The following is an 18077-nucleotide window of genomic DNA, read 5'->3' as shown; positions in this document are numbered from 1 at the left end:
ATGTTCTGATTTTTGATCTGGGTGTTGGTTTCTTCGGTCTTTTCAGTTTATGAAAATCCATCGAAGTTTTCTGTGTGTATATTACCCTCCAATAAAAATGTCAAAACTGTTTTGTTTCGGTAATTTCCTCTTTCACCCCTATATCCCTTGACATACCTGTAGATACAGAACTGTAAAACCTAAGGCAACAATGCCCAGGCTAAATAATTCATAATCCAATTCCATAAGTGCCATTTACTCTGTGCTGGGCCCTGTGCTGGGGGCCCAGGGGACTGAATCAACCACAGCCCAGTCCTCCAGAAACTCCTGGTCTGTGGGGATGGGGAAATGCAGCCTAGCATGGGGTGGAGAGGTCATAAAAGCAGATCCAAGAGGAGGGGATGTCACTGCTTTCTAGAGAATCATAAAGCCAAGAGGGACATAGGGGCATAACAGAGATCAACAGGTTACTTGAGGGTTTGGTATATGCCGGCCGTTTCTGTTCTAAATGCTTTTCCATGTGGTGGCTAACTTAATCCTCAAAGTAACAGGAACACCGGGAGGTAGGTACTATCATTTTCACCTTTTCACAGTGAGGAAAGAATCACAGAAGAGCCAGGTAACCTATCTAAGTATAATCAGCCAGAAAGTGGGAGAGATAAGACTTGAACCCAGGCTGTCAGCTTCAGAACTCAACTCGTGCTCAGCCTCCAGGCTAAACTGTGCTGTGGGGAAAATAATGTTCAGTTAAATGCCCAAATACACAACGAGGCTCGACATACAGATGTGCTCCATGAACAATGGCTACTACTGACAATAAGAAAGAAACAACCTATTAGAGAAAAAGTTAACCTGAAACTGAACATGACGCCTTTTGCTCATTCATTAAGATCGGCCACGCCGCCTTCCGGGAACTGGATGCCCCCGGGAGCTCAGCCATACCCTAAGAAAAGGAGATTTTGTAGCTGGGCCTGAAGGATAAACTGAGCGGATTGGGTCAGGTGAGCTGTGAGGGAGGGTGCACCCAGCAGAGAGAGCAATAGTGGCAAAAGCCCAGAGGTGCAAAAATGTGTGTGTTTGCAAGCTTAGCTGGGCAGAGCTCGCGATTCAGAGGCGCTTCAGCCTTCTCCCTCTTAAAAACTGGACCTCGGGCGCCACCTGGTGGCGACCTCTGATACTAATAGGGCAGAAACAACCAGCTGGGGCAAAAGTTCCCCACACCCTTCTCTCCTGGACCATTTGTTCCTCCTGTCTCTTTCCCCACAAATGGATTTGCTGTAAAATGGACTTTTACAGCTGTTAACGTCAATTTAAAAATTTAAAAAGTCAATTGACTTTGACAGCTGTAAAAGTCCATTTTACAGCAAGTCCATCTGGGGGAAAGAGACAAGGTGTTGGGATGTGGATGGGATGGGAGTGGTGAAGACATGGTGAGGTCAGTGTCAAAACAAGCCCCTTCCCGGCCGATCGCAGTGTCTCACGCCTGTAATCCTAGCACTTTGGGAGGTCGAGATGGGTGGATCATTTGAGGTCAGGAGTTTGAGACCAACCTGGCCAACATGGCGAAGCCCTGTCTCTATTAAAAGTACAAAAATTAACCCGTGTGGTGGGGAGTGCCTGTAGTCCCAGCTACTCGGGAGACTGAAGCATGAGAATCGCTTGAACCCAGAAGGCAGAGGTTGCAGTAAGTGGAGATCGTGTCACTGCACTCCAGCCTAGGCAACAGGGTGAGACCCTGTCTCAAAAACAAAAACAAAACAAGCTCTTTCCCATATAGCTTCAGGGGTCCCCAGGAGGGTTTTAAACAGAGGACTGACATGGTCAGACTTCTATTAGAGAAAGAACACTCTGAGCATTGAGAAATAACAACTAAGGTAAAATTTTAATTTAAAAGTACATTGATTTTCCAGTTATTAAGGCAACGCGTGCTCATTGTAGAAAATGTGGAAATTATAGAAAAGAATAAAGAAGAAAATAAGTCACCCTTAATTCCATCACCCAGAATAACCACTACTAATATTTTGGCATATCTGCCTCCAGTGTTTTTCCCTGCATATAATTTTCACAGAGCTGAGGATTAAACTCGCTGGTGTTTAAATGTATGTTGAGTATTTTTGTGGACAAAGTCTTGGTGTGTGAATAAGTGTGGGTGTTGGGAGCTGGTGCTGGTGTCAGACCACTCTGAGTTTGAATCCTGTCTTTGCCTTTACTAGCTGTGACTTGGGCAAGCGCCTTCTCTTCTCGGAGTAGTAGCCATTTCCTTCACCATCTGTAAAATGTGATTAACAATGGGACCCATCCCAGAGCTGGTTTACAGATTAAATGACATGATGTATGCAAAATGCTTAGGACAGTGCCTGTCGCAGAGAGGTTACTCACCAGTAACAGATTACTACCTAAAGCTTTGTCTTTCCGACTCTTATCAGCAGTCTCTAGAAATGAGATTGATTTCAAGGTTCAAGGATATGAAGAGCCACAAGGTTGTTACGGTTTGCCAAAACTGAGTGGAAAATTTTAAGCAAGATCTCGTGTCTCCGGCACCACAGCTGTTCTCATTTGTCTCTATATTCTTCCAGGCCCTGTTTACGCAGAGCACTTTTTAAGCATTGTAATTGCAATGCTTGCACCAGTTCCCTTAATGTTACATCATCAACATTTTCCTAAGCGGCTGAAGCTGTCATTGACAGCGTTTGCTATCATTCACTTAACCATTTTTTAATTGTTGACTATCTGGGCAGTCTAATTTTTCATTCATTCATTCATTCATTCATTCATTCATTCATTCAACAGTTCCAGAATGCCTACTCTGTGCCAGGCACTGAACTAGGCACTAGGATATTGTGGTCAGCAAGAACAACACACCCTTTATATTCTGGCACCCAGACTCTGGCTGGCAAGACAGGCTATAACAAGTAAACAAACAAGTAACACTCCAACTGTAAACTATGGTGAGTGCTGGGAAGGAAAAGGAGAGAACTCCCGGAGAACTTTATTTTCACATTTGTGTATTTTTTGGAAGTAATCCTAGTCCTGAAATCTAACCTGCTTTTGCTTCTTAGCAGACACAGCTAAAGCTTTTCTTGAAGAAGTCTCATGTGGGTTTGGATTTTCCACTAACACATTTTAGAATTTCCTGAGAAGTCAAGGGTGCCATGGTATTCAAAGACCTGACAGTCGGGCTCAAGTGGGCCTTGTTTCCTTTCTTTTCTCCCTTGCTCAGAGGCTTGTATTTCAACTGGTCCAGTCTGCTCCCTGCCCTCTTGAAGAAGCAGATGATTATCCCCTTCTTAAATCTTGCTTCACCTTTTCTTCATCTTCCCTCTCAGTACAGGGCCTCCATGAGCCCTGGGAGTCTTTAAGCCAATGGGCAAAAGCACCCCCATCCCATGGCCAAAGCCATGATGGGTGAGGCTTTGCACACATTGGATTTCAACGCCCGCAAGGCCTCTTGCATGACTGCAGCAGCCCTATCCATAGCTCTTCAGTGACCACCCCACCTAGCTTTCTATCAACCTGATTCCTACTCCACCTCGAAGACTCAGCTTATAGTCTCTCTCTTATAGGAAGCCTGGTCTAGCTTTCTAATTCACAGTAAATTCTCTATTTCTTGAGCTACTGGATGAATTTTATTTTTTACTCTTTGCCTCATTGGCACTTAATCATATACTCCCTCATGACACCTCCTATTTTCCTCTCTTGCATAATTATTTCATCTGAATAAGTCTGACTTAGATGAAGAGATCAGAGGTATCTGTGCAGATGTATCATTTACACTGAATAATGAAGGAGCAGTAGCCAGAGATCTAAAGAAAGGCAGAGGGCATGTGCAAAGGCCCTGAGGCAGAAGAGGTCTCGGGATGTGAAGCCAAAATGAATATTTCTATATGGGATTGTCCTTACAGATTTGACATATGAGGCTGAAAATGACTCATTCATTAATACATCCATACTACTTTGTTCATACTACCATGAACAAAGCAAGGGCCACTGTGTTCCAAGACCCAAGAGATGGGGATACAGAGATGAATCAGACAAGATTTGTTCTTGCCCAGACTAATGGTGGAGGCTGAGATGATTTCTAGATAGTGTGACAGACAGACCAGGGTTGAGAGTTGTGGATGAGAATTATGGGTGTGAATAGAAGAGCACAGAGAGTAACTATTTCTGCCTGAGGCACTGGGAAAAGTTTGTCTAAGAACAGACATGAAGGAAGGGAAGTCCAGACAGAAGGAACAATGTTTACAAAGGCATGGAGGCAGGGAGAGGGGTTGATTTCAGAAATTGTAATCAGGAAGGGCCTCTTAGGACAATCAATGTTCTTGGACTTTATCTGTAGATGGTGACAAACCAGGGGAGGTTTCTAAGCAGGAGAGTGGCAGGTCTGGTGTGGAGAATGGGTGGGTGTGTGGCAGAGCTGGAGGTGAGCTATCAGCAGAAGCCTGAATTGGGGTGGTGATGATAGAGATAGATAAGAGAGGAAAGAGGAGATCTCTCTCTCTCTCTCTCTTTTTCTCTCTCGAATGAGTCTCGCTCTGTTGCCCTAGGCGTGCAGTGGCGCGATCTCAGTTCACTGCAGCCTCTGCCTCCTGGGTTCATGAGTTTTGTGCCTCAGCCTCCCGAGTAGCTGGGATTACAGGCATATGCCATCATGCCCAGTTTTTATATATATATATATATATATATATATATATATATATATATATATATATGTTTTTTTTTTTTTTTTTTTTTTTTTTTTGAGACCGAGTCTCACTCTGTCGCCCAGGCTGGAGTGCAGTGGCGCGATCTCGGCAAATTTCAAGCATGGATGACTGAATGAAGGTAGTGCCACTTGCTGAGATCAAGGACACCAGGAGGAGGGACAGGATTTGGGGGGTAGGTTTGTGGAGAGAAATGGGGGGACAGTGAGGCCTTCTTACTGATACCACGGACAGCTCCAAGAATTTCCAGAGGACTTGCATCAGACTCTATGAGTGGTTCTTGCCTCCGCTGCCTTAGAATCAGCGGAGGAGCTAATTTAACATGCAGATTCCCAGGTCCACCCAGATGTGCTGCATCACAGTCTCTGGGGGTGGGGTCCAGGAGCCTGCATTTTAAATAAACACCCCGGGTTGTTCCCATGCAAGTGGCCAGACGACCATGCTTACAGAAACTCTGAAACAAAGTCATGAAGGGAACAGATGCGAGCGCCCTCTGCTGCTAAAAAGGAGGTTTGGATCTCTTAAGTTTATGACTTGGACATTTCAAGGCAGTTTATTCAGCAAGTGAAACCCCTGGACTAAAGCAAAGAAACAAGACACCTGGAGAGATGAGAGAGGAAGAGGGGCCACGTTCCTTGACAACTTCTGTGTTTCTTTCACCCTGTAGTGTCGAGCGAGGCAAAGTTCCCCTGTGTGCAGTCGTGGCCGCTGTGGTCAGTCTGGGGTGCTGTTACACCTTCTCAACCCCACTTCCTAAAAAAACAAATGCGGCTCCCTCAGGTGGGAGGGGAGAGCTTTCTCCTTGGTTTGGCTTTAAAATGATGGCAACTCCCAAAAATGGAAAGCAGGGGCTCAAACAGGTATTTGTATACCAATGTTAACCGACATTCTTCACAATAGCCAAAAGGTGGAAACAACCTAAGTCCATTGACAGATGAATGGATAAAAACGAGGTGGTGTATGCACACGACGAAATATTTTTCAGTCTTAAAAATGAGTGAAATTTGGACTCATGCTACAACATGGAGAAACCTTGAGGACATTATGCTACGTGAAATAAGCCAGACAAATACTGTATGATTCCACTGACATGAGGAACCAGGAATAGTCAAATTCATAGTCAGAAAGTAGAAATGGTGGTTCCCAGGGACTAGGAGAGAAGGGAATCCCGACTTATTGTTTCATAGACACAAAGTTTCAGTTTGGTAAGATAAAAGAGTTCCGGAGACCCATAGTGGTGCTGGTTGCACAACAATGTGAGTATACAGAATGCCACTGAATTGTACACTAAAAATGGTTAAAATGGCAAATTTTGTTATATTTTACCACAACAAAAAAAGTGATATAAGTAAAAGCAGTCAGGCTGGACGTGGTGGCTCACGCTTGTAATCTCAGCACTTTGGGAGGCTGAGGCGGGTGGATCATCTGAGGTCGGGAGTTAGAGACCAGCCTGGCCAAGATGGTGAAACCCCGTCTATACTAAAAATACAAAAAATTAGCCGGGCATGGTGGCCGGCTCCTGCAATCCCAGCTACTCACAAGGCTGAGGCAGGAGAATTGCTTGAAGCCGGGAGGCGGAGGCTGCAATGAGCCGAGATCACACCATTGCATCCCAGCCTGGGCGACAAGAGCGAAACTCTGTAACAACATCAACAACAACAACAAAACAAAAACAAAAACAAAAAAGAAAACAAGAGACGCGGTGGTTCTGCTTGTAATCCTAGTACTTTGGGAGGCCGAGGCTGGCAGATTACCTGAGGTCAGGAGTTTGAGAACAGCCTCGGCAACATGGCGAAACCACGTTTCTACGAGAAACACAAAACTTAGCCGGGAGTGGTGGTACATTCGTGTAGTCTCAGCTACTCGGGAGGTTGGGGTGGGAGGATCCCTTGAGCTCTGGAAGTTGAGGCTGCTGCAGTGAGCCGGGATCGCGCCACTGCACTCCAGCCTGGGCGACAGAGAGAGACCCTGTCTAAAAAAAAAAAAAAAAAAGAAAAAAAGAAAAGAAAAAGAAAAAATCGTTAATATCCTCAACTCGAGTGGGAATCTATAGGGGGCTTACCCATGCCCATGACTTCCCCATCCCATCGGGAGCTCCCTGAGAACAGGGAAAAGTGCCTCCCCTCTTATCTGGGGGCGCTCAAAGGACCAGCAGAGGGTTTCTTCAGCGGAACACTCTCTGCTCCCCTAGGGCCTGGGCTGCTCACATCCATCGCACTGAGGAGGGTCCCATCCATTGCACTGAGGAGGGTCCCATCCATTGCACTGAGGAGGGTCCCACTGGGGGGCTCCTCCTCCGTCCTATCGAGAGTTATCCCAGCGAGTGTTGGCGGGGACTGAGCCTCCTGCTTGAGGTAGTTGTTTTTACTCCCAGTCCCCAGGCTCACGAGCCCCACGCGCGCTCAATCTGCCCTCCCGCTTCTCCTCGCCACTCCGAGTTCTGCGCCCTCGAGATCCAGCGCATCCGCGGGGTGGGCGGGTCCTGGCGGCTCTTTGCCCTCTTCCAACATGGCCGCCGCTGCCTCTGTGACAGGCAGGGTCACGTGGGCAGCCTCGCCTATGAGGTCGCTGGGGCTCGGCCGGCGATTGTCCCTTCCCGGACCCCGTCTCGATGCGGTGACTGCCGCTGTCAACCCGAGCCTGAGCGATCATGGCAACGGGCTCGGGCGGGGAACGCGTGGCAGCGGCTGCAGCGGCGGCAGTTTGGTGGCGGACTGGGGCGGCGGAGCGGCGGCGGCGGCGGCGGTGGCACTGGCACTGGCCCCGGCCCTGAGCACCATGCGGCGGGGCAGCTCCGAGAGCGAGCTGGCGGCCCGGTGGGAGGCGGAGGCGGTGGCTGCGGCCAAAGCGGCGGCCAAAGCTGAGGCCGAGGCCACAGCGGAGACGGTGGCGGAACAGGTCCGCGTGGACGCGGGCGCGGCCGGGGAACCGGAGTGCAAGGCAGGGGAGGAGCAGCCCAAGGTCCTGGCCCCGGCCCCGGCGCAGCCCAGTGCGGCTGAGGAGGGGAACACCCAGGTCCTTCAGCGGCCGCCGCCCACGCTGCCCCCGTCCAAGCCGAAGCCGGTGCAGGGCCTCTGCCCGCACGGGAAGCCCCGGGACAAGGGCCGAAGCTGCAAGCGGAGCTCGGGCCACGGTTCCGGCGAGAACGGCTCCCAGCGGCCGGTCACCGTGGACAGCTCCAAGGCCAGGACCTCCCTGGATGCCCTGAAGATCAGCATCCGCCAGCTCAAGTGGAAGGAGGTGAGGCCCGGCCCGACCCGGCCGCGTGGGCACAGTGGGGTGGACAGGACGACCTCAGAGGTCTCGGCACGGCCCAGGTCAGGTCGGCGGGCGAGGGCTGAGCTCCTGCGGTGCACCACGCTCGGGCCTGCTTGTCAGCCGCAAAGTGCTCATCCTTCAAGGCCTACCCCCCAAAATCACTTCCTCCAAGAGGGCCCCCCAGACCCCTCCAGGTCAAGTTAGCCACTCACTCCTCTGCCTCCCTGCAGCTCTTTTTATGTCTCAGCCATCAGCATTTGCCTCTGCTTGTAGATATGTGTACGTCTGTCTCCTCCACCAGCTTGTAAGCCCCTGGGGCCCCGGACCCGCTCTCTCACTTCTTCATTGAAGTTATATTTGTTTAGCACTTGCTGTGTGACTCTTGGGCAGAGGAACACTTTTTATTTTGGAGGCAGACAGGCCTAGGGTCTCACTACACTTTGCTACTTAGCTGTGTGACCTTGAGTAAGTTGCTTCACCTCTTCAGCCTATTACCTTCTCTGTAAAGTGAGGCCAATTATACTTATCTCATCATCTTGTTAGCATTAGAAGACTCACTACTTAGTGTTTTATAGCACAAGTCTGCAATAAATGGTAACTTACGTTACCACCTTCTCCTTTCTCTCTTCTTCCACCATCATCACCATCACCACCACCAGCACCACCACTGTCCTCATGATCAGTGGTATAAAATCAGGCACTGTATTTTATATTCCAGGCTTGGCTTACGGCATGTGTCAGTAAGCAGTGAATGAAAGGGTGAATGAATACATGAGTTATCATCCCTGAGCCCATTTTAGACTGGCAGGGGATGGAATGTAGCACCAGTGACTCTAGAGGTGTCTGTTGCAATTGGCTACGTGGATAAAGCCATTTGACTTTATTTGCAGCATATAAGGTATTTAATGTGCTTTCAGGAGTGTCAGGAGTTTGATTAAGGATAGCTGAGTGTGGACACAGCCAGTGGTAACAGGGATCTGCTGCGGGTAACAGAGGACTCAGGTTCTTAGCCCTGTGCCTTGGCTATGGTAGATGCTCGGTAATGGTTTCATTAAGTTGGAACATACAGAGAGATGGCCACAGAAAGGACTGATGTGGTCAGAGGGTTGATGTCCCAATAGGAAAAAGTGCATTTGGTTTGGAGGGAAGTCAAGGATCAGGCAGAACCGACTTCCAGGTGGATAGGGTGTAGCCGTTGGGGAAGTTTGACTCCAAGTGTCTGGGCCCCCAGCCTTGGGGCTTGGGATTCAGAGGGGAACTTTCATGCTGGGGAAACTTGGGGAAAACAAAGGCAGGCTCTCAGTTCTAAAGTATCTGGGTTTCTAGGCAGGGCCCCAGGTCCAGGCCAGAGATATGAGGGCTAGAAAAGGTACAACTGGACAACTTGTCAGTGCCGTGGTCTTAATGAAGGGAGAATCCAGCAAATAAAACCAGGCTATGGAGTCAGGCTAGGCAGATTGGCCCAAGTGGGGCCTCCACTTAGCTTATCCCTGTGGGAGAGAGAGACATAAAGCAGGCCAGATCTCGTTTGCTCGGAGAGATGGGGCCAGATGGACTAATACATCCCAGCCCAGGTTCGTTCACTCATTCCGTAAATGTCCACTTTGGAGGTGCCAAGTTCTTTGCTGGGCCCTGGGAACCAAACATACTTAAGATGTGACCCTTGCCCCCAAGGACTTCATGGTTCAATAGGGAATAAAACACAAGTAAAGGAATAATTGCGGTCATTACAGGTCATTACATTGCTGCTGCATCCTGAAATTCTCCCTTTTCATTTATTTGCATGGCTTACTCTTGTCACTTCTTTAGATGATACCTTCCCCATCAATCTCCAGCCCTTGGTATTTATTTTTTTTCCATAGTACTAAACTTCGCCAGGCATTATATTATGTATTGCTTGTTTATTGTCGTTTCCCTCACTAGAATGTAAGCTCCATGAGGGCAGGGGCTTTGTTTTGTTTATTGCTGTACCCGCAGGTACTTGGCACACAGAAGTTGCTCAATAAATATTCGTTGAATGAATGAATACATTATGTGATGAGTGTTTCTGTGTGAAAGGAGAAATGCTGCGGGAGGTAGAGGAGGGGCACCCAGGAAGGACTTCCTGGAGGAAATAAACCCGAGCTGAGTTGTGAGTGCTGAAAATGAACTGGAGTTATTTAGGGTCATGGACTTTGGATCCCTGGTTGCAGGAGTGGTGTGGGCAAAGCAGAGGCCCTTTCAGGACTTTGAGTATGGCCGGATCATAGCGTGGGAGGTGGAGTGGTAAGAGATGGGGCTTCAGAAATGAGCAGGGATCAGATCATGTGCCATGCGATGGGATTTGGACCTGTTTTGGGGAGGAAGGCTATGTGAGCCATTAACAGAATTTTGATGTTCTTCCATTTATCAGGGCAAGTCAGTTAAACCCTTGAGGCCTCAGTTTGCTTATCTGTAAAGTAGGGGTGGACAGAGCTAATTCAGCAGTTTCCAGTCTTTCTACTTCGGTAGCCGCATAATGGTAATGTTGATCTACTCTCTACTTCGGTAGCCGCATAATGGTAATGTTGATCTACATGAGACTGTTGCACTGGTCACCCCCAGTGGGTAGGCTTTTTCCAAGGCACTACCTGTAACTGCTTCTTCCACCTCCAACCCTGCCCTTTTTTTCCCACTCAGAGAACACATTGGCATATAGGTGGAGATGTTTATTCTAGTATATTTTAAAACATAATTCACTGAATGTGGTGGCTCATGCCTGTAATTCCACCTACTTGGGAGGCTGAGGTGGGAGGATCACTTGAGTCCAGGAGTTCAAGGATGCAGTGAGCTATGATTGTGCCACTGCACACCAGCCTGGGTGACAGAGCAAGACCCTGTCTCTAAAAAAAATATTGAAAATTAAAAAAACAATTCACTTGCAACAATAAGACTCTACTATTAGGCTTGTGATTATTACTGTCACCCTTCCTCATTACTGCATGAAGTCCTGAGGGCAGGGGTGGTATCTGACTTATGTCCCTAATGCACAGCATATTCTAGGTGCTCAATAAATATTCATCAAATGAATTATGGAATATTTGCAAGAGAGCTTACATCACATCTTGACACCCTAGTGTGGAGGTTGAAAAGTGCCAGAGTAGCTAAACTTTAAAGTTCCTTCCTGCTTTAAACTATGATTATAGTATTCTTAGTACCTCCTACAAAGTTGACTGCATGAAAACTAACATATATATATATCCCTGGTACTAACAAAGTGCAAACACATGACCTTTCTTATGCCTGCCTTTCCCCATCTGTTATGAGGTGATATTGGATGAGATCATCTTGAACTCCCAGCGCTGTTTTAGGAGCAAGAACTTCTACTGGGGGCTGTGGTGCAAGGGTGTGAGCAACAGTATCTCTTGCAGCCCATGCTGTGTTGCTGTGGGTTTGGGGAGTACTCAGGTGGCTGGCTTTGGTGGGAGTGGATGAGTAGCCCAGGTAAGAAATAAGGTCATGAACACCAACCAGAGTGAGAGCTGTGTCTCCTTTTATGGGTGCATAGTGAGGAGCTATATATCACCGTCCACTTTAACAGGGTAGGACTGAGCCAGCATGTGAATTCAGAAGTTTGCTCAGCTGCAGGGCACACAATCTCGCTTCCTTTTTCACTTTTTTTTTTTTTTTTTTTGAGACAGGGTGTCGTTCTGTCATCCAGGCTGGAGTGCAGTGGTGCTATCTTGGCTCACTGCACTCTCACTACAACCTCTGCCTCAGAGGTTCAAGCAGTTCTCCTGCCTCAGCCTCCTGAGTAGCTGAGATTACAGGCATGTGTCACCATCCCTGGCTAATTTTTGTATTTTTAATAGAGATGGGGTTTCACCATGTTGGCCAGACTGGTCTTGAACTCCTGACCTCAAGTGATCTGCCTGCCTCGGCCTCTCAAAATGCTGGGATTACAGGCGTGAGCCACCACCCCTGGCTCCTTTTTCACTTTTCCTTATTCCACATATATTTAACAACAACAACAACATGATAATAAATCTTTATATAGCTCTTACTCTGTTCCAGGTGCTGTTTTAAGTGCTCTACATATATACAATTGTTTGATTCTCCCAACAGCTCAGTAAAGTAAATGCCTTATTGTGTCCGTTCTACATATGAGAACATGGAAATACACAGAGGTTAACTTACCTGAGGCCACATAGCTAGTAAGGGACAGAGCTAGCATTTGAAATATGCATTCCATTTGAAACCAGGCTTCAATTCTGTGCTCTCTATTGGTAAACACTGGGCTGGAGGTCGCAGATGTAGATGTGAACAGGATACACTCCTTGCCCTCCAGGAGCTCCTGGTGTAGGAGGAGGAATACATGCAAACAAACAGTTACAGTTTGGTCTGGGAGGTGAGTGATTCAAGGATGTTCCATACAGAGTAGGAACAACAAGGCAGGCAGTATGGACCAGGTTTTACATGCAGGATGGGATGATGGCAGCTGAGGGAGCATATGGGGGAGTGGAGAGCGATGAAGAAGCCAGATCACAGAGCATGGTGAAGGCCATGCCAAGAAGCTTGCGCTTCTGACTGAATTTAATCACAGATTGCTTGCCATATATAGACCCGGCCTCCCTTGCCCACTCTCCTTCAGTCCCAAGTGAACCATGCCAGCCCTCAGATGATTCAGTTTGCAGTCATACCCGTTCTGGCCAGGTCTAATTTAACTGCGTCCACAATGTTAAATTTGTTTCTGAAAGGGAAGGATCACAGATGTTAGCTCTGTAAACTTGTAGACAAGACTGGAGTTACTCTCAAATAGCAAAATCATGTTTACAGAGTCACCACTGATGTTGCAACATGAAAGAAAGGCATGGTTTCTGGTTCACCGCAGATGCTCAATGTTTATGGATTTGTATGGTCTTCTTCCCATCCTGTGAAGACTCCCCATCTCCCATGGATGCTTCTGTCATTTTGCTACCCTCATGAAAAAACACCTTAGAGGAAAGACACCATAGAGAGTAGACGCCACTTTTGTTGTGAGCTGCCCTCTTTGGAGATGTAGGTTGTGTTTATGTGCACAGTGGTGCCATGGCCACCAGCTAATGTGAATGAGGGCCCTGAGAGATTTCATAGCGGGACCTTTGTTGATGATAGTTTGAATAAGCCCCTGTCCTGAGATCTATTATAGTATAAAGTCTTTGTTTCAGAGACTCCAAATCATGCATTGTTCCCTGAAATTTATCCAGCCTTTCTTTAGAACAAGTATACACTTACTATATTGTCCTACTTACAACTTGTATAATATTAGTTACTGTTTATTAAATAGGGGTTATGTGCAAGGCATTGTACTGTTTTATGCTCGTGAAAAATTGTATTGAGAGGCTGAGGCACGAGAATTGCTTGAACCCGGGAGGCGGAGGTTGCAGTGAGCTGAAATCGCACCACTGCACTTCAGCTGGGATAACAGAGTGAGACTCTGTCTCAAAAAAAAAAAAATTGTATTGAGTATTTACTATGCATTATTTATTTAATCCTTGCAAAAACCCTCTAAAATAGACTGCACTGTCATCTTCAACTTACAGATGAGGGAACTGAGGCTTAGAGAGGGGCCGGTACAGGGCCAGCCCATGGCCACACAGATAACCAGTGGCAGAGCCATCCAGGGCCTGGGCTTGTAGCCAGTTTTCAATCATATACCTTCTTCTTTGCTAATCCTTTGCAAAAACCATTCTGCAAGGAGTTATTCTATTATCATCACTATCATCATTACTATTCTCAAGTAACAGCAGAAGAAACTGAGGTGGGCACAGCAAGTAAGTGAGAAAGTCAGGGTTCAAACAGTAGCCTTTTTTTGTTCCAAAACCCACTTTTAAGTGTTTTATGATTCTCTACTTCTTAACCCTCCCATTCCTCATTTGACCCATAATTCAAGTGACCTTGGAGTTGGTCAGAATCAGGAGAGCAATAATGCAAATAGGACTTAAAATAAAACACACTGAAATATATCCTGCCTGGCAGAGGGAGCATTTGGTGCCTGCACCTTCCAAATCCTGTCTTGCTGCTGCCCACAGGGGAGATGCAATTCCTGTGCCATTTGACTAGCTGGGTTGCCTTCCTCCTCTGTGGAATGTGAGCCTGCTATTTGAATCTTTCTGTCTCAGATTCCTTCTGGAAGAAGGTAGAGTATAAAATGAAATATTGGGTAGTCTAATCTTTCCTCCCTTTCTATTTTCAATGACCGCCATTGCAACTTACTGCCCATTTAAAAAAAAAGCACCATATTTAAAAACACTATATGCCCTACTCCATCAAATGTTCTCCTTCCACAGATACATTATTTTAATGTCTAATCTATTGGAATTTTTCCTTTGCAAGTTAAACTTGTCATAACATAAAAATCACAATTCACTACCATTGTTATTTGAACGATACAATTCGGGTAATAGCTTCATGAATCCACACCAACTCCTTAAACAGTCCTTTAAAAGACAATAAATTCAAGGGGCTCACATTCAAGCTCTATAACTCCTATAAATTAAAATCGTGTCTGTGTGTTTTTAAGCAGGTGTTGTAATGGTTAGGCTGTTTTCTGTGTTATAAAACATACAGTGTATTGTGCCACAATTTTGGTAGTGTTTTGGATTCTGGTTTTGTATCAGCAGAAGTTTAAGGCAAAAATTTAATCATGCATTTTATTTTTTATTTAAATCTGTTCTTGAACGTATTGTAAAAGTAATCGACCACTGTTTAAGTGCCTTCTCTCAAGGGGAAGTGTTGTATTTTGTAGTTGGCATGGGCTTTGAAATCAGACAGATGTGGGTTAAAATCCTTGCCTCTGATTGCTTGTGTGACTAAACTCTGTACTAAATACAGAACCTCTCTGAGACTCAGTTTCTTCAGCTGTAGCAATGGGCTAGTGCTATCTATCTCACAGAATTTTTGTGAGAGTAAATGAGGGAATGTATGTAAATTGACTTAACCCAATGCTTGGCACACTGTAGGTATTCAGTGTTGATTGTTTTCTTTCTATCATGTAATTACAGGCTTGGTTATTTGATCTATTTTTTCTTAAACAGGGGGAAAATTTAATATAAAATGTAGTCCATATATGTATGTTATTGGTTAGTCAGAGCAGGTGTGACCAGCTAATTTGACTTATCTAATAGATATTTTGAGATCTACTTTGTGCCAGGCTGTATTTGGGATCTTGGGGATACAGCAGATGACACAGCCACTCACAGATGGCTGCAGCGTAAGGGACAGTTGCATTTTGGGTGAATGTCAACTTGATGTAGTCTAGGTTTAAGATGTTAAAAAATAATACTGATTTCATGTTTTTTTCTTTTTAAATCAATTATACTTCTAAAGTTTCCTAAGTCTAATTGAATGTTTTAAAGTCTCCATTCTGGACCTGGTGCCTATGTCATACTTTGTTTTTTGTTTGTTTATTTGAAATGGAGTCTCGCTCTGTTGCCCAGGTTGGAGTGCAGTGGTGCGATCTCAGCTCACTGCAACCTCTGCCTCCTGGGTTCAAGCGATTCTCCTGCCTCAGCCTCCTGAGTAGCTGGGACTACAGGCGCCTACCACCATGCCCAGCTAATTTTTGTATTTTTGGTAGCTATGGGGTTTCACCATGTTGGCTAGGCTGGTCTCGAACTCCTGACCTCAGATGATCTGCCCGCCTCAGCCTCCCAAAGTGGTGGGATTACAGGTGTGAGCCACCGCGCCTGGCCTGTCTCATACGTTGGTATGTTAATTATGTACATCGCCACGGGAAACTCGTTTTAGCCGTTTAAGTGACATCAGTATCTTGACTTTGGGTTTCACAGGGAAAACAGATGTTATTCTACATGAAAGTACCCACCAGCTGTGTGGAAAAGATACAAATTTTCTGGGTCACGCAGTGGCTCCGTGCCCCTGGACAAGTTGCTTTACCTCATCTCTAAGACTGAGTATAAAATACTAGCTAGTTGTTGTGAGGATGAAGCCAGAAAATCTTAAAAGCGCCTGGCACTTTAAAGTAAGAATACATGTTGGTTTGACTTTCCCTCTGGTGAATCTCTATGACATCTTAATTAAATTTTGTAACAGAAAAATGGATGATGTGAACAGGCAGATCAGCTTGCCATCCTCTAATTAGGTTTGAACCCCTCCTTTCCTTGTGGTTGTTCCTCTGAAGCCGAGTCACGTCCCTGAGATTCCTCCACAGAGGTTATTGTTTTGCTGGAGAGAACGATTAGGTTTCTCTATTCCAGGAGGACTTGCATCTCTCCTTCCTCCTCGTATCAAATTGTGCCTTGCCAGCTGCTGCCGCTGCCATTTGCATGCGTGTTTGTTTCCCTGGGTGTTTCTGAACCATTATCTAGTAATTTTTATAAATGCTTTATAAGTACTTGCAGGCATTTCTGGCGGCTTCCTTCCCTCTCCCATATGCTTCTCTGTCATCTGAATAAAACCTTCGCACCCTTAATGAAGCTGGAAGAATAGGCAGTTTATCTCCTGTGTAGTCTTCCCTGGGTGCGGTTTTGCTTTTCAAATAAGTTCCTCAGTACATCTGCCTAGAACTCTGATGAAGGCCAGTTTTCCTATTTTGTTCTTTATACTCATAGGGAGATTCTATTTCTCATTGTGTCAGAACTGTGGGTTATTGGAATTTTAAAAAACAACAGTGGACCATTTTTTGGACATCTTAGATTATGTATAAATAACTTCGTTCCAATTCCAGAAATAATATATGCTTATAAAAATTTACACTGTTCCCAAGCATATAAAATAAAAACTGAAACAAACCACCTACCCCATCCCCCTCCCTTTCCATCCTCCCCTCTAATTCCACTTCTGAGAGGTGACACCAGAATCCCAATTTGATATGTATCTTTACAGACTTCTTTCTTTTTTTTCGAGATAGAGTCTTGCTCTGTCAGCCAGGCTGGAGTGCAGTGATGCAATCTTGGCTCACTGCAACCTCTGCCTCCCGGGTTCAAGCAATTCTCCTGCCTCAGCCTCCCAAGTAGCTGGGAGTATAGGTGCATGCCACCACACCTGGCTAATTTTTGTATTTTTAGTAGAGACGGGGTTTCACCATGTTAGCCAGGCTGGTCTCGAACTACTGACCTTGTGATCTGCATTCCTTGTCCTCTCAAAGTGCTGGAATTACAGGTGTGAGCCACCGTGCCTGGCCCAGATTTTTTTCTTATTCTTGTACATATCAGGATGGCTAAATTGTGCTATGGTAAGAACCATAAAATAGCAGTGGCTTAATACAACCAAAGTTTATTTCTTGCCCATGCTTTGGGTTCAATGTGGGCTGGTGGGGTTGGGGAGCAGGGGTCTCTCATCATCTTGGTTATTGAGATCGTGGTCTCCCATTGTGACACCTGCTTTCATGAGTCACTGAGGGAGGGAAAGAGCATGTGGTGGTGAATTTGCACTGGTTTTTAAAACGTCTACCCAGAAGTGATGCATCACTTCAGCTCAGATTTGATTCGCTGAAGCAGGTTACATGGTCATGGCTAACCTCAGAGGGATGGGGGATGCGCAGTCCCACCATGAGGGTGTAAAGAGGAGAATCAGGCTATTTGGTAAACTGTGCTAATTACCATCATGATATCATATGTAGAGATACAAATATATACTGTATATAAATATAAATATACACATATTTTATTTTTTCTTTCTAGAGAGGGTCTTGCTCTGTCGCCCAGGTTGGAGTATAGTGGCGCAATCTCGGCTCACTGCAGCCTCCACCTCCTGGGCTCAAACCATCCTCCCACCTCAGCAACCCTCGCCCCCCAGGAGCTGGGACTACAGGTGCACACCATGCCCAGCTAATTTTTTATATTTTTTTGTAGAGACAGCATTGTGCTATGTTGCCCAAGCTAGTCTCCTGGGCTCAAGTGATTCTCCCGCCTCAGCCTCCCAAAGTGCTGAGATTACAGGTGTGAGCCACTGTACCCAGCAGATATTTCATTTTTTAAAATGCTGCAGTTATACCACGTAGATAGTGTTTGGCAACTGCTGTTTTAGCAGTACCTCATATACATCTTTCTCTGTTAATATATATAGATTCATTTCATTTTAACAACCTAATAGTCCATTTTATATACCATAATTTATTGACGGATGTTGTTTCTATGTGTTTTCTTTGCTATTACAAAGAGTGGGGCAATAAACATCACTCTT

The 18077-nt window shown here is 45.9% G+C and overlaps 1 protein-coding gene and 2 long non-coding RNA genes across 10 annotated transcripts in view, besides 3 other annotated features; 1 reads left to right on the top strand and 2 right to left on the bottom strand.

Annotated features, from left to right (window-relative positions):
• Positions 1-5205: 5205 nt before the first annotated feature.
• On the bottom strand, positions 5206-6474 carry LOC124902263 (uncharacterized). Its single transcript, XR_007061757.1, has 2 exons — positions 6434-6474; positions 5206-5432 (listed from the first exon to the last, which is right to left on the bottom strand). It is a non-coding gene; the product is annotated as an uncharacterized LOC124902263 (long non-coding RNA).
• Positions 7057-7770: an enhancer, noted in NCBI's record as "H3K27ac-H3K4me1 hESC enhancer chr9:124855115-124855828 (GRCh37/hg19 assembly coordinates)". NCBI's record gives its function as "activates a minimal SCP1, AML or CMV promoter by ChIP-STARR-seq in naive H9 embryonic stem cells {active_cell/tissue: H9 hESC(naive)}" and the evidence as "EXISTENCE:reporter gene assay evidence [ECO:0000049][PMID:30033119]".
• Positions 7118-7307: an enhancer, noted in NCBI's record as "active region_28926". NCBI's record gives its function as "activates an Ori minimal core promoter by ATAC-STARR-seq in GM12878 lymphoblastoid cells {active_cell/tissue: GM12878}" and the evidence as "EXISTENCE:reporter gene assay evidence [ECO:0000049][PMID:35858748]".
• The window catches only part of TTLL11 (tubulin tyrosine ligase like 11), a 277635-nt gene continuing 266855 nt past the window's right edge, over positions 7298-18077 (top strand). For all 8 annotated transcript variants that reach the window (XR_001746188.2, XR_929721.4, XR_929720.4 and 5 more), the window contains exon 1: positions 7298-7919. Coding sequence is in view for 5 of the 8 variants with exons in the window: in XM_047422825.1 (XP_047278781.1) it covers positions 7458-7919 (462 nt within the window). In the remaining 3 variants the exon portion in view is untranslated. The remainder of the gene's footprint in view (positions 7920-18077) is intronic.
• Positions 7658-7707: a silencer, noted in NCBI's record as "silent region_20239". NCBI's record gives its function as "represses an Ori minimal core promoter by ATAC-STARR-seq in GM12878 lymphoblastoid cells {active_cell/tissue: GM12878}" and the evidence as "EXISTENCE:reporter gene assay evidence [ECO:0000049][PMID:35858748]".
• Positions 9327-17218, bottom strand: LOC124902262 (uncharacterized). The gene is made up of 3 exons (XR_007061755.1): positions 17010-17218; positions 12093-12249; positions 9327-9569 (listed from the first exon to the last, which is right to left on the bottom strand). It is a non-coding gene; the product is annotated as an uncharacterized LOC124902262 (long non-coding RNA).

This window comes from Homo sapiens, chromosome 9 (genome assembly GCF_000001405.40).
Source record: "Homo sapiens chromosome 9, GRCh38.p14 Primary Assembly".
In the NCBI taxonomy this organism is placed as follows: Eukaryota; Metazoa; Chordata; class Mammalia; order Primates; family Hominidae; genus Homo; species Homo sapiens.
The sequence above is the reverse complement of the archived record's forward strand: the minus strand, read 5'-3'. Positions and strand labels throughout refer to the sequence as shown.